The sequence below is a fragment of the Homo sapiens genome, unplaced genomic scaffold, assembly GCF_000001405.40.
Source record: "Homo sapiens unplaced genomic scaffold, GRCh38.p14 Primary Assembly HSCHRUN_RANDOM_CTG1".
NCBI classification, from domain to species: Eukaryota; Metazoa; Chordata; class Mammalia; order Primates; family Hominidae; genus Homo; species Homo sapiens.
In genome coordinates, this window is record NT_113901.1 from 150091 (window position 1) to 164910 (window position 14820).

Below are 14820 nucleotides of genomic sequence, written 5' to 3' on the forward strand. Positions count from 1 at the left end.
GTGTTTCTCTGTGTGGCTTATTTTACTTAACATGGTATGCTCAAGGTTCATCCATGCTCTTTTTAACTGACAGAATTTTATGCTTTCTTATGGCTGAATAGTATTTCGCTGTGTATATATAGTACATTTTCCTTATCCATTTATCTGTTGCTGTACATTTGAATTGATTCCATATATAAGCTATTATAAATAGTTCTGTAATGAACATGGGAATGCAAATATCTTTTTGACACAGTAATATCCTTTCTTTTGGATATACACCCAGAAGTAAAATTGCTGGATCATATAATAGATATATTTTTAATTTCTTTCAGAAACCTCCATACTATTTTCTATAATGGCCATACTAATTTACAATTCCACCAACAAGGTATACATCCACTCTTTTTTATATCCTCATTAGTTCTTGATTTATTTATTTATTTATTTTTATTATAGCCATTCTAATGGGAATGAGGTGGTACTTCATTGCAGTTTGGATTTGCATTTCCTTGGTGATTAGTAATGTAGAGCATCTTTTTGTGTTCCAGTTAGCCATTTTTGTATCTCTTTTTGACAAACATCTATTAAGATCTTTTGCATTTTTTAAATTAGATTATAAGTGTATTTTATTTTGAGATTTTAAAGTTTCTTATATATTCTGAATATTAGCCTTTTGTCACATGTATATGAAAACATTTTCTGTCATCGCCTAAGCTGTCTCTTCAAACTTTTAGTTGTTTTTTTAATATGAAAAAGCATTTTAGTTTGACATAATGTTGTTTGTTTATTCTTGATTTTGTTGCCCATGTTTTGAAATCTTATTTTAATAATCCTTTCACCGTCCAATGTTATAAAGCATTTTTTTATGTTTTTCTCTAATAGTTTCATAATTGATGGCATTACATTTAAGTCTTTAGTTTTAGTTGATTATCATATATGGCAAGGTACAAGGGTCTAGTATTATTTTTCTGAATATAAATATTTAAATGGCCCTGCACCATTTATTAAAGAGATTAGCTTTTCTCTAAAGTGTGTTCTTGGTAATTTTGTTGACAATCTGTTGGCTTTAGGTGCATAAATTAACTTCCGGGCTTATTGGGCATATTAGTCTATGTGTTTGTTTTTATGCCAGTACAGTGCTGTTTTGGTTACTGTAGCTTTATAGCAAGTTTTGAAGTTTGATGAAGTGATGCCTTCAGCTTTGCTTATTTTGCTCAAAGTTGCTTTGTCTATTCAGAGTTTTTTGTGGATCCATATAAATTTAAATTTTTTTATTTCTGTGAAAAAATGTCATTGGTATTTTGATAAAAATCACATTAAGTCTGTAGATCACTTTGGGTAGCTATATCAACAGTATTCTTCCAGTGTATAAACACAATATTTTTTATTTATTCATTTGTATTTTATATTTTTTATCCATGTTTTGTCGTTTTCAGAGTAGAGATCTTTTACCTTTTTAGTTAAGTTTGTTGCTAGGTGTATTAGTTGGGCTTCCCTAGAGAGATCATGAGATCCCACAATAGGTTGGTTGTCTGCAAGTTTGAGGAGCAAGGAGAGGCGGTCCATGTCCCAAAGCTGAAGAACTTGGAGTCTGATGTTTGAGGGCTGCAAGTGTCCAGCACAGGAGAAAGATGTAGTCTGGGAGCTTAGGCCAGTCTCTCTTTTTCACGTTTTTCTGCCTGCTTTATATTCACTGTCAGCTCATTAGATGGTGCTCACCCAATTAAGAGTGGATCTCCCTTTCCCAGCCCACTGACTCAAATGTTAATGTCCTTTGGCAACACCCTCACAGACACACCCAGGATCAATGCTTTCTATCCTCCAATCCAATCAATTTGACACCCTGTATTAGCCATCACATTAAGTATTTTCATTTTTGTAGCTTTTGCATATGCAGAAGAAGAATTGGATGAAATTCAGCCTTGATTATGATGAAAACTCTCAACAAGTTAGGAATAGAAGGTATGTGCCTTAACTCAATAAAGGCCATTTATGAAAAAGCAATGCTAACTTTATACTGAATAAGGAAAAGTTGAAAGCTTTCTCTCTGAGATCTGGAACAAGACAAATCGTCCAAACTTTCAGCCCTCTTATTCAACATAGTACTGGAAGTCCTAGCCAAGGAAATTAGGCAAGAGGAAGAAATAAAAGTCATACTAATTGAAAGGATGAAGTCAAATGGTCTCTGATTGTGGACAAAATAATCTTATATGTGAAAAACTCTAAACACTACACCAAAAACTATTAGAACTACTAAACAAATTCTGTAACATTGCAGAAAATTAACACAGTAGTAGCTTTCTGTATGATGATAGCGAACTATCTGAAAAATAAAATTATAAATTCCATTTTAATAGCTACCAAAAATTAGTTATTTTGAGTTTATTTCTTTATTTGTGGTGGAGTCTTTCTCTGTCACCAGGCTGGAGCGCAGTGACATGATCTCAGCTCACTGAAACTCTTGCCTCCCGGATTCCAGAGATTCTCCTGCATCAGCCTCCTGAGTGTCTGGAACTGCAGGCATGTGCCACCACCGCCAACTAATTTTTGTTTGTATTTTTAGTAGAGACGTTGTTTCCCCATGTTGGCCAGGATGGTCTTGATATCCTGACCTTGTGATTCACTTGTCTCAGTCACCCAAAGTGCTGGGATTACAGGTGTGAGCCACCACACCCAGCCTTGAGTTTATGTTTTTATCTGTTGCAAGTTAAGGTCTAACTTTGTTATTTTTTCCTTGTAAATTTTTATTATTCCCAATACTGTTTGTTGAAGAGACTGTTCTTTCCTTTTTGTGATTCTTGGAACACATTTTAAAAATATGTTTACTATACCCATGAGGACTTATGTCTGGACTCTCTCATCTGTTTCATCATTCATTTGTCTTTATGTCAGTACCAAACTGTTTTGATTACTATATGTTCATAGTATGTTTAGAAAATAGAAAGTATGATGCCTCTGTCTTTATATTTTTTTCCCAATATTGTTTGGCTGTTTGTGATCACTTGAAATTCCATAAAAATTGTAGAATATTTTAAAACTTCTGCAAAAAGTTTCATTGGTATTTTGATAGAAAGTATATTGAATCAGCTGAGGGTTGTGGCTCATGCCTGTAATCCCAGCACTTTGGGAGGCTGAGGAAGGTGGAACACCTGAGGTCAGGAGTTCCAGACCAGCCATGGAGAAACCCCATCTCTACTAAAAATACAAAATTAGCCAGGTGTGGTGGCACATGCCTGTATTCCCAGCTACTCAGGAGGCTGAGGCAGGAGAACAGCTTGAACCCAGGAGGTGGAGGCTGCAGTGAACTGAGATCACACCATTGCACTCCACCTTGGGCAACAAGAGCAAAACTCCGTCTCAAAAGAAAAAGAAAGAAAAGAAAAGAAAGAACATTGAATCCGTAGACCACTTTTGGTAGTAGTGACATTTTAACAATATTAAGTCTATAACCTCTTGAACAAGAGTGTGTTTGAGAATTTGTTGTTTAATTTTTACTTATTCTTTGACATGTTAGTGTTTTTAACTTCTTGTTTTATTGTATCATAGTTAGGAATAATTTGTGTAATTCCATCTGCTGAAATTTGCTAAGATGTGTTTTTTAACTTAACAGGTGGTCTATCTGGAATATTGTGGCATGTGTGATTAAAAGTATTGCATATTCTACTGTTGAGTGGAGAGATATAAATGTGACTGTTAGGTCTAATTGTTCTATTGTGTTGTTGAAATCCTCTGTTTACTTATTCATCTTATGTTTGTTTTTTAATTTACATTACTAAAAGTCTGATAAAAAAGTCATCTACTGTTATGTGCTGGCTACTTCATGTTTCAATTCTGTAAAATGTTGCTTCATATTTTGGGAACTGTGATGTAAGGCACATACATTACTGTTGCTTTTATTGTTGCATGTTGTTTTATTGTTGTTGCTTTTATTGATATATGTTGTTTTTTGTTGCTTTTATTGTTGTTGTTGTTATTGTCCTTTTCTTCTTCTCTCTTGAGGAAGTTTTTGATATAATATATATTTTGTCTACCATGACAGTATTTGATTTTGCATTTAATTTTTTTTATTCTTTCATGTATGGCTTATGCGTGTTCCAGATCATAATGTGGTCATTTGTAGGAAGCAGAGAGTTGAATCTTGTTTCATGAATTTATTTAGTGAAAGTATGTTTTTGATTGACATAATTTATATATATAAAAAATCATTACTAAAAGGGAATGATTTCCTATGACTTTCTATTTAATTTTGTTTCTTTTTTGTTTTAGGTCCTGTAGCTTTTTCTTTTGAGACGGAGTTTTGCTCTGTTGCCCAGGCTGGAGTGCAGTGGTGCAATCTTGGCTCCCTGCAAGCTCCGCCTCCCGGATTCACGCCATTCTCCTGCCTCAGATTCCCCAGCAGCTGGGAATTCAGGCACCCGCCACCATGCCCGGCTATTTTTATTTTTATTTGTTTATTTTTTTTAGTAGAGACAGGGTTTCACTGTGTTAGCCAGGATGGTCTCAATCTCCTGACCTCGTTGATCCACCCACCTCGGCCTCCCAAATTGCTAGGATTACAGGCGTGAGCCACCGCTCCTGGCCGGTCCTGTAGCTATTATTTCCTGTTTTTCTCTCTTGTTCTCTTTCTTAGCATATTATTGATTTTTATAGTGACATGTTTTACTTCTTTTCTCACTACTCTCTCTGTGTGTATGTCTTTGTGTGTGTGTACTATAGGTATTTCCTTTTTTTTTTTTTTTTTTGACAGGGTCTTGCTCTGTCGCCCAGGCTGGAGGGCAGTGGCACAATATCTGCTTATTGCAAGCTCTGCCTCTCAGGCTCAACTCAAACAATCCTCCCACCACAGCCTTCTGAGTACCTGGGACCACAGATGTGCACCAGTACTCCTGGCTAATTTTTGTTATTTTTCATAGAGACAGGGTTTTGCCATGTTGCCCAGACTAGTCTCAAAATCCTAAGTACTATAGGTATTTTCTTTGTTGTTACTATAGATATTACCAAAAATAACTACTATAGCATATAAAACCCTGCCTCTTTATGGCTGCCTATGTGTTTTATTGATGTCGCGAATTACATCATTTTGTATTGTGAATCTATTGGCACAGTTATATAGTCATTTTTAAGTCTTTGTTATCTCAACTACATAGCAGAATTAAAAGTATTCTGTGCATCTTCATTATAATAACAAAAATATTATAATTGTGTACATAATTATCTGTTAGAAAACTTTATATTTTACATAATTCTATGTTGCTCTCATCATTATTTTATTTTTTAATGTCAATGACTAGCATTTTTTTATACAGGCCTACCGTGCATAAATTAATACAGTTTTCGTTGATCTTGAATATTCTTTATTTTTATTTTTTAATTCATTTGAAATGATAGCTTTGGCAGACATAGTGTTCTTGGTTGGTACTTGCCATTTTTTTCAGCACTTTGAGTATGTCATCCTACAACCTCTTGCCTGCATGCTATTGGCTGAGACATCTGCTGGTCATCCTATAGGGGTAACATTGTACATGCTAAGTCATTTTTTCTTGCTGACTTCAAGATTCTCGGTGTTTTAACATTTGAATCTCTGATTAAAATGTGTCTTGTCATGGGTCTCCCTGTGTTGCTACTAGTTGGTAAAGTTTCATTAAATTTTAGGCCATTTTCTCCCTCAAATTTTGAGAGTTCTCAGCCACTGTTTGTTTCTTGAAATAACTTTGCTGCTCTCTTTTCTCTCTTTTTATTTTAGAATTCCCATTAGAAGTATATTGGCCATCTTAATGGTATCCCATAAGTCCCTTAGGCTTTCTTAATTTTTAAAATTATTTTTACCCTCCTCACCATATAATTTCAAAAGACTTCTTATGAAGCTTGCTGGATTTTTTCCTGCTAGATCAAACCAGTTGTTGGACCTTCTAGTGAATCTCTAAATTCAGGTATTTTATTTTTCAGCTCCACACTTTATGTTTCTATTTTGTACTTTTAATCACTTCATTGATAATCTCATTATCTTCATGAATTGTTTTCTTTTTCTGTTTAGCTTTCTATGTTCTTCTTTAGCTGAATGAGCATCTTTAAGCTAGGTGTTTTAGCCAGGCACATTGATATGTGTGTCTAATTCCAGCTACTTTGAAAGCTAAGGCAAGGGGATTACTGTATTAATAAATTCTCATGCAGCTAATAAAGACATAACCAAGACTGGATAATTCATAATGAAAAAGGTTAATGGCCTCACAGTTTCACATGGCTGGGGAGGTCTCACAATTATTGGAGCAAACAAGAGACTTTGTTCAGGGGAATCTCCACTTATAAAACCATCAGATCACGTGAGACTTTTTTGCTATCATGAGAACAGCATGGGAAAATCCCACCCCCATGATTCAATTACCTCCCACAGGGTCCCTCCCAGGACATGTGGAGATTATTACAATTCAAGATGAGATTTGGTTGGGGACAGAGAGCCAAACCATATCAATTACTTAAGGCTAGGAGTTTCAGACCACCCTGGGCAATATTGTGAGAAGCTATATGTAAAAAATATTTTTACAGATTAATCATGAATGGTGGAATGTTCCTGTAGTCTCAGGAAGTTGGAGGCTGATGTAAGATTATTCCTTGAGTTCCCAGGAATTTGAGGCTGCATTGAGTTATAACCATGATATTGTATTCCTGTCTGGGTGAGAGAGTAAGACCGCCTTTTAGAATTTCAAATTTGTTTTAGATTTAGGAGGTACCTACACAGGTTTTTTACATGGGTATTTTGTATAGTGCTGAGGTTTGAAATATAAGTAATTCCATCACTTATGCAGTGAGCATAGTACTAAATAGACAGTTTTTCAGTTCTTGATCCCTCCCTCTCTCCACCCTCTAAGAGTTGTCTTTTATTTTTATTTTTATGTCCATGTGTACCCAGTGTTAATTTCCATTTATAAGTGAGAACATCAGTATTTTTGTTTTCCATTTCTGCATTAATTTGATTGTAGAATGACCTTTAGTTGTATTAATGTTGCTGCAAAGGACAAGTTTTTTTTTTGTTGTTGTTGTTTTTGCTAAGTAGTATTGCTGTACATGTGACACTTTTTAAATTCAATTTAGCATTAATAGGCTGGACACGGTGGCTGATGCCTGTAATCCCAGCACTGTGGGAGGCCAAGGTGAGTGGATCATGAGGTCAGGAGATCGAGACCATCCTGGACAGCATAATGAAACCCCCGTCTCTACTGAAAATACAAAAGTTAGCCGGACGTGTTGTCATGAGCCTGTAGTCCCAGCTACTCGGGTGGCTGAGGCAGGAGAATTGCTTGAACCTGGGAGGTGGAGGTTGTAGTGAGCTGAGATAGTGCCACTGCACTCCAGCCTGGGCAACAGAGTGAGACTTCATCTCAAAAAAAAAAAAATACCATTAATAGTCACGTAGGTTGATTCATGTCTTTCCTGTTATAAATAATGCAGTGATGAACCAACAAGTGCATGTGCTGTTTTGGTAGAATAGTTTATTCTCTTCTGGGTATACACCCAGCGGTGAAATTCTGCGTTGAATCATAGTTCAACTCTCAGTTATTTGGAAAATCTCCAAGCTGCTCTCCACAGTGGCTGAACTAATTTATATTCCTATAAACAGTGTATAAGTGGTTTTTTCCCTCTAAAACCCCACCAATATCTACTATCATTTTACTTTTTAACAAAAGCCATTCTAACTGGTGTACGATGGTGTCTTACTGTGGTTTTTATTTACATTTCCTTGATGGTTAGTGATAAGCTTTTTTCATGTTGTTTGGCCACTTGTATGTATTCTTTTGAACATTGTCTGTTATTGCCCACTTTTTCATGGGGTAATTTTTTGCTTGTGAATTCTTTAAGTTTCTTATAGATTCTGAGTATTAGATTTTGTCAGGTTTATAGGTTGTGAATATTTTTGCCATTCTGCCAGCTTTGGGGTTAGTTTGTTTTTGTTTTTCTAGTTTCTCTAAGTGTGATGTTAAATTGTTAGTTTGAGATCATTCTAACTTCTTGATGCAGATATTTAGCACTCTCAACTTTCCTCTTAACAGAGCTTTTCCTACAACCCAGACATTTTAGTATATTGTGTCTCTTCATTTATTTCAAATTTTTTTTAAGTTTCTGCCTCAATTTTGTTGTTTACCCAAAATTCATTCAGGAGCAAGTTGTTTAATTTCAATGCCATTCTGTGATTTTGTGAGATTTTGTTGGTATTGATATTTATCTTTTTTCCATTGTGGCCTGACAGTATGGTTGGCATAATTTTCATTTTTAAAAAATGTATGGATAATTGCTTTATGGCTAGGAAGTGGTCAATCCTAGAGTATATTCTGTGAGCGATGAGAAGAATTTATGTTCCTTAGATGATGTGTGGTGTATACTATAAATGTCTATTAGTTTCAATTGATCAAGTGCGAAATCAAACTCCAGAATTTCTTTGTTAAGTTTCTGCCTAGATAATCTGACAAACACTGTTATTGGGGAGTTGCGTTTCCCTACTATTATTGCGTGGCTACTTGAGTCTTATTGTAGGTCTAGCAGTACTTGTTGTATAACTCTATGTTCCCCAAAGTTGGGTGCATCTATATTTAGGATAGTTAAGTCTTCTTGTTGAATTGAACTCTCTATCGTTATGCAATGCCTTTCTTTGTTTTATTTTACTATTAATGATTTAAAGTCCTTTTTTCTTAAAAGAGAAACAATTCCAGGTATGGTGGCTCATGCCAGCACTTTCAGACTGAGGCAGTAGGATTGCCTGAGACCAGGAGTTTGAGACCAGCCGAGGCAACATAACAACATTCTGTTTGTACAGATTCTTTTAAAGAAACTATACAGGTGTGGTAGTGTGCCCAACTGTGGTCATATTTACTCAGGAGACATAGGAGGCATGACTGCTTTACTTCAGAAATTTGAGGTTACAGTGAGCTGTGATTGCACCACTGCAATCTGTCCCAGGAGATAGAGTAAGATCCTGTGTATAAAATGAAAAAATAAAGAAAAATAAAATGATTTTAAGTTAAAAAATAATTCATAGATCTCCACTTCTTTAGGGTCACTTGAATATATATTTTTCTCGTTTCATTAGGCTATATTTCCTGGTTGCTTTTATGTACTGTGGTTTTGTTAAGGTTTTGGTCAATTAAGAAACCACTACCTATTTTATCCTTTATGAAAAAGCTTTGTACATGGGAAAATTGACAATATTCAGCCACACTAGTCATTCCGGGAGCTTCTCCAATCTGTTGTCAAAATGTGTCTTCTTTGTACTGTATGTATTTTCTTGTTAATAAGGTTTACCTCTCTTTCCTCTTAGGAGCCTTTAGTCTCTTCTCTTTGTCACTGTTGCAGGCACTACAGTCTCTTTGTTGTAAGAAATATTTATCTTTATTCTCAGTCGACCCAAGCTGTCATTTAAACTCTATCTCTATTCTGGTCAACACTAAATGTTAAAGGTATAAATCAATAAGTCAGAAGTTTGCATACACGTTTCACTCTGTTTTCTTTCCCGAGGGAGAATCATGGAATGGACAGAATTTTATCTAACTGCACTGTTCTTTAGTGCAGAAATGTAACCAAATTTTCTTTCTTCTAAATGTGGTTATGGTTGGCTTTTTTCTCATGAGGGGTGCTACAAACTCAACTGGCTTTGCTCACCCAATTGCAGTTAAGTTCATACATCCATTGAGAGAAACAGGATCTCAGGTTCTTCTTCAACTATCATTGTGTTCTCAGCTGGCCTCATTTTGTTCATTAGATTTATAAAATATATTTACCTTAATTTCATCACCGAATTTTTTAAAAAATTATTATTTTCCAGCTCTTTTAGCATTATATCCAACAAGACCCAGACAAAACAGTACATAGGAGCTTCTTTTCAAAAAGTAATATTGGGAAGATATGGGAGCTCTGGCCTTGAAAATTTACACTTAAGGAGAGTGGGAAATTGAAGGATAAGTGTAAAGGGTACAAAGGATGCTATGATGAATATACCAGATATAGAGCAACTACCTACAGCAAAAATGTCACTGCTAGAAGAGCTCAAAACCATAAAGTATTTTGGAAAAAGCATAATTAATGTTGATTCTTTTTTCTGAACTATATATTTGTATAATTACATATCAATAACAATTTTTGAAACATCATGTTTTTGAAACAAAATTTAGAAAATCGCAATAGTGGCCTAGGCCAGGAATATATCTTCTAATGCTATCCCTCCCATAGTCCCCCACTTCCTGACAGGCTCCAGTGTGTGGTGTTCCCCTTCCTGTGTCCCTGTGTTCTCTTTGTTTAACTCCCAACTATGAGAGAGAACATGTGATGTTTGCTTTTCTACTCTTGTGTTAGTTTGCTGAGAATGGTGGTTTCCAGCTTCATCCATGTCCCTGCAAAGGACATGAACTCATCCTTTTTATGACTGCATTGTATTCCATGATGTATACATGCCACATTTTCTTTATTCATTCTACCACTGATGGGCATTTGGTTTGGTTCAAAGTTTTTGCTCTTGTGCACAGTGCCATAATAAACATATGTTTGCATGTGTCTAAGTAGTAGAATAATTTATAATCATTTGGTTATATACCCAGTAATGGGATTGCTGGATCAAATGGTATTTCTCATTGTAGATCCTTGAGGAATTGCCATACTGTCTTCCACAATGGTTGAACTAATTTACACTCTCACCAACAGTGTAAAAGTGTTCCTATTTCTCCACATCCTCTCCAGCATCTGTTGTTTCCTGATTTTTCCAATGATCACCATTCTAACTGGAGTGAGATGGTTTCTCACTGTGTTTTTGATTTGCATTTATCTAATGACCAGTGATGATGAGTTTTTTTTTCATATGTTTGTTGGCTGCATAAATGTCTTCTTTTCAGAAGTGTCTGTTCATGTCCTTTGCCCATTTTTGATATGGTTGTTTGTTTTTTTCTTGTAAATTTGCTTAAGTTTTTTGTAGATTCTGCATATTAGCCCATTGTCAGATGGATAGATTGCATAAATTTTCTCCTTTCTGTGGGTTGCCTGTTCACTCTGATGATAGTTTCTTTTGTTGTGAAGAAGCTCTTTACTTTAATTACATCTCGTTTGTCAATTTTGGCTTTTGTTGCCATTGTTTTTGCTGTTTTATTCATGAAGTCTTTGCCCACGCCTATGTCCTGAATGGTAATGCCTTTGTTTTTTGGGGGGTTTTTATGGTTTTAAGTCTTACATTTAAGTCTTTAATCCATCTTCAGTTAATTTTTGTATAACTAGTAAGGAAGACGTCCAGTTTCATTTTTTTGCATATGGCTATCTAGTTTTCCCAACACCATTTATTAAATAAGGAATCCTTTCCCCATTACTTGTTTTTGTCAGGTTCATCAAAGATCAGATGGTTGTAGATGTTTGATGTTATTTCTGGGGCCTCTGTTCTGTTCCATTTGTCAATATATCTGTTTTGGTACCAGTACCATACTGTCTTGGTTACTGTGGCCTTTTAGTATAGTTTGAAGATAGCTAGTGTGATGCCTCCACTTTTGTTCTTTTTGCTTAGGATTGTCTTGTCTATGCAGGATCTTTTTTGATTCCATATGAAATTTAAAGTAGTTTTTTTTCTAATTATGTAAAGAAAGTCAGTGGGAGCTTGATGGGGATAACACTGAATTTATAAATTACTTTGGGCAGTATGGCCATTTTCACAATATTGATTCTTCCTATCCATGAGCACGGATTGTTTTTCATTTGTTTGTGTCCTCTCTTATTTCCTTGAGCAGTGGTTTGTAGATCTCCTTGAAGAAGTCCTTCCCATCCCTTTTAAGTTGGATTCCTAGGTATTTTATTCTCTTTGTAACAATTGTGAATGAGAGTTCATGCATGATTTGGCTCTCTGTTTGTCTATTATTGTGTATAGGAATTCTTGTGATTTTTGAACACTGATTTTGTATACTGAGACTTTTTTGAAGTTGCATATTGGTTTAAGGAGATTTTGGGCTGAGACGATGGGGTTTTCTAAATATACAATCATGTCAGCTGCAAACAGAGACAACTTGAGTTCCTCTTCCTATTTGATTACGCTTTGTTTCTTTCTCTTGACTGATTGCCCTGGCCAGAACTTCCAATACTATATTGAATAGGAGTGATGAGAGAGGGTATTCTTGTTTTGTGCAGATTTTCAAAAGGAATGTTTCAAGTTTTTTCCCATTCAGTATATTGGCTGTGCGTTTGTCATAAATAGCTCTTAGTATGTTGAGATAAGTTCCATGAATACATAATTCATTGAGAGTTTTTACCATGAAGAGGTGTTGAATTTTGCTGAAGGCCTTTTTTGCATCTATTGAGATAATCATGTGGTTTTTGTCATTAGTTCTGTTTATGTGATGGAATACATTTATTGATTTGCATATGTTGAACAAGCTTTGCATCCGAGGGATTAAGCTGACTAGATCGTGGTGGATAAGCTTTTTGATGTGCTGCTGGATTCGGTTTGCCAGTATTTTATTGAGGATTTTCGCATCGATATTCATCAGGGATACGGGCCTGAAATTTTCTTTTTCTGGTGTGTCTTTGCCAAGTTTTGGTTTCAGGATGATGCTGGATGCATAAAATGAGTTAAGGAGGAGTACCTCTTTTCTATTGTTTGAAATAGTTTCAGAAGGAATGGTACCAGCTCCTCTTTGTACCTTTGGTAGAATTCGGCTGTGAATCCTTCTGGTTCTGGACTTCTTTTGGTTGGTAGGCTATTAGTTACTGCCTCAATTTTAGAACTTGTTATTGGCATATTCAGGCATTCGACTTCTTACTGGTTTGGACTTGGGAGGGTATATGTGTCCAGGAATTTATCCATTTCGTCTAGATTTTCTAGTTAATTTGCAAAGAGTTTTTTATAATATTCTCTAATGGTAATTTTTATTTCTGTGGATCAATGGTTATATCCCCTTTATCATTTCCTATTGCATGTATTTGATTCTTCTCTTCTTCCTTATTACTCTGGCTAGCAGTTTATTTATTTCTTGATCTTTTCAAAAAAACAGCTCCTGGATTCGTTGATTTTTTGGACGGGCTTTTTGTGTGTCTATCTCCTTCAGTTCTGCTGTGATCTTAATTATTTCTTGTCTTCTGCTAGCTTTTGAATTTGTTTGCTCTTGCTTCCCTAGATTTTTAATTGTGATATTATGATGCCGATTTTAGACCTTTTCTGCTTTCTCTTGTGGGCATTTAGTGCCATAAATTTCCCTTTGCACACTACTTTAGCTGTGTCATATTTTAATTTTTAAGCCCTCAATCTTTCTTTTTCATCATGACAGTCTTGACTGTTTTATGTTTATGAAAACTGTAAAATTGTTTACACAGTTTTTACAAAGACTTTACCAAAAGATTTTATTGAGAATGTACAAACCTGTCAGTCAATTAGGGGAGAAGTTGCATTGTAGTAATAAATAGCCACAAAACAAAACCCTGAAGGACATCCAAACCAGAATAAAACAAAACATTTTAACAAAGAGAAAAAGAACAATCTCGCAACAAATATGTGCAGTTTATATCACAAAGATGTTCACATCTCCACTTTAAAGAGAGCTTTTAGAAGTTGATTTAAAATATGGGAAAAGACATTATCCCACACCACAGAAAAAATAAATTTAAGCAGCTCTTAACACATGAACGTATTATCAAGCTCAGATGGAATCAAAATTAAATATTTGACAACAGATTCTACAGTTTGAGAGAAATAGAAAAGTGTTTTTTTCTTTTCTCCAGGTCCACAAGTCTAGTTTCTTGGACTCTCTCACTATAATGGAGGTTGTCATCAGCTCCCCAAAATAAGGGAAGCACAGAGCAGATGGTGGCTGAAGGTGGGGAATCCTGTGAAATCATATTTAAGATCATAGCCCGTGGTCCATTGTATTGTAATCAGCTGGCTCAGGAAAGAAGATCTGGATCTCCTGAGCTCTACACCTACTGCAATGGATATGTCAGGAGTCCCGAGAACCTCTGGGGCCCAAACCCCTCCCACCAAAATATATCATCCAGTATTGAGGACTCTGACACCAAATTCTCACAGAGCATATGCTTATGCAATTTTACATTTAATTTCTCATTACATTACAATTGGGAAAATGAGGCCCCAAAAGAGGCAGGGACTGATCCAGATCTCAGGAGGTGGGCAGGCTCCAGAGCATTAGAGAGAGCTCCAGCTTCCTAGGCCTTGGCTCCATCCCACCTATCAGGTTTGCTTTGGAAGTTAGAGCCTGTAGCTTCACATTCAGGGGCACAGAGAATGAGCAGATCCAGGGTTCTGTTCACATGGGGACCTCTCCATGTCAATTTCAAGATGACAGGACTGGGGTTTTGCATCCAGCTCTGAGGGCACCTGGAAGTAAAATGAGCTATGCTCCACCTCAGCGTAATGTAGAGAATGCCTGCAGGAAAGCCTGTTTTCTTCCTCATAAATAGGGCTGTTTGAACTGGGTGACCTCGACGATTTCACATACTCATAAGTGTCTTCCAGCCCTGATTCTTGCTCTGAGACTGTGCAGAAATGCATCCACTCTCTGTAGGTCCTTCAAATCAGAGGGAGGCATGGCCACTTCAGAGGCATCTTGGGTAGATGAAGATGAGACGGAGCTAAATGTTCCAGAGCATTGGACTCTGAGGCTGAAGTCCACGGAAAATCCCAGCTCCTGTTGGGTTCTTAAGGTCCTCATTTGAAAGTGGTAGAAACTAATTTCACTGGATAAGGGGAGGATATCTCATGGATAAATAGCACAACCCAAAAGGTAGAGGCAAATAGAAGGCAAAGGGGGATTCCAAGGTCACTCATTGTACTTGGGGCCTTCAGATTCTGCTACTTTATCCCCTAGGACCTTG

General features: G+C 36.1%; 1 long non-coding RNA gene across 6 annotated transcripts in view; it reads left to right on the top strand.

Annotated features, from left to right (window-relative positions):
- The window catches only part of LOC124905312 (uncharacterized), a 35497-nt gene that overhangs the window by 12160 nt on the left and 8517 nt on the right, over window positions 1–14820 (top strand). For 3 of the 6 annotated variants that reach the window (XR_007068497.1, XR_007068500.1, XR_007068503.1), the window contains one exon: window positions 1865–3777. The exons of 1 other annotated variant lie outside the window; for it this stretch is intronic. This is a non-coding gene — a long non-coding RNA (uncharacterized LOC124905312). Of the gene's footprint in view, window positions 1–1864; window positions 3778–4248; window positions 6180–14820 lie in introns of those variants that run through there. 2 more of the 6 variants (XR_007068498.1, XR_007068505.1) reach the window with 2 other exon arrangements.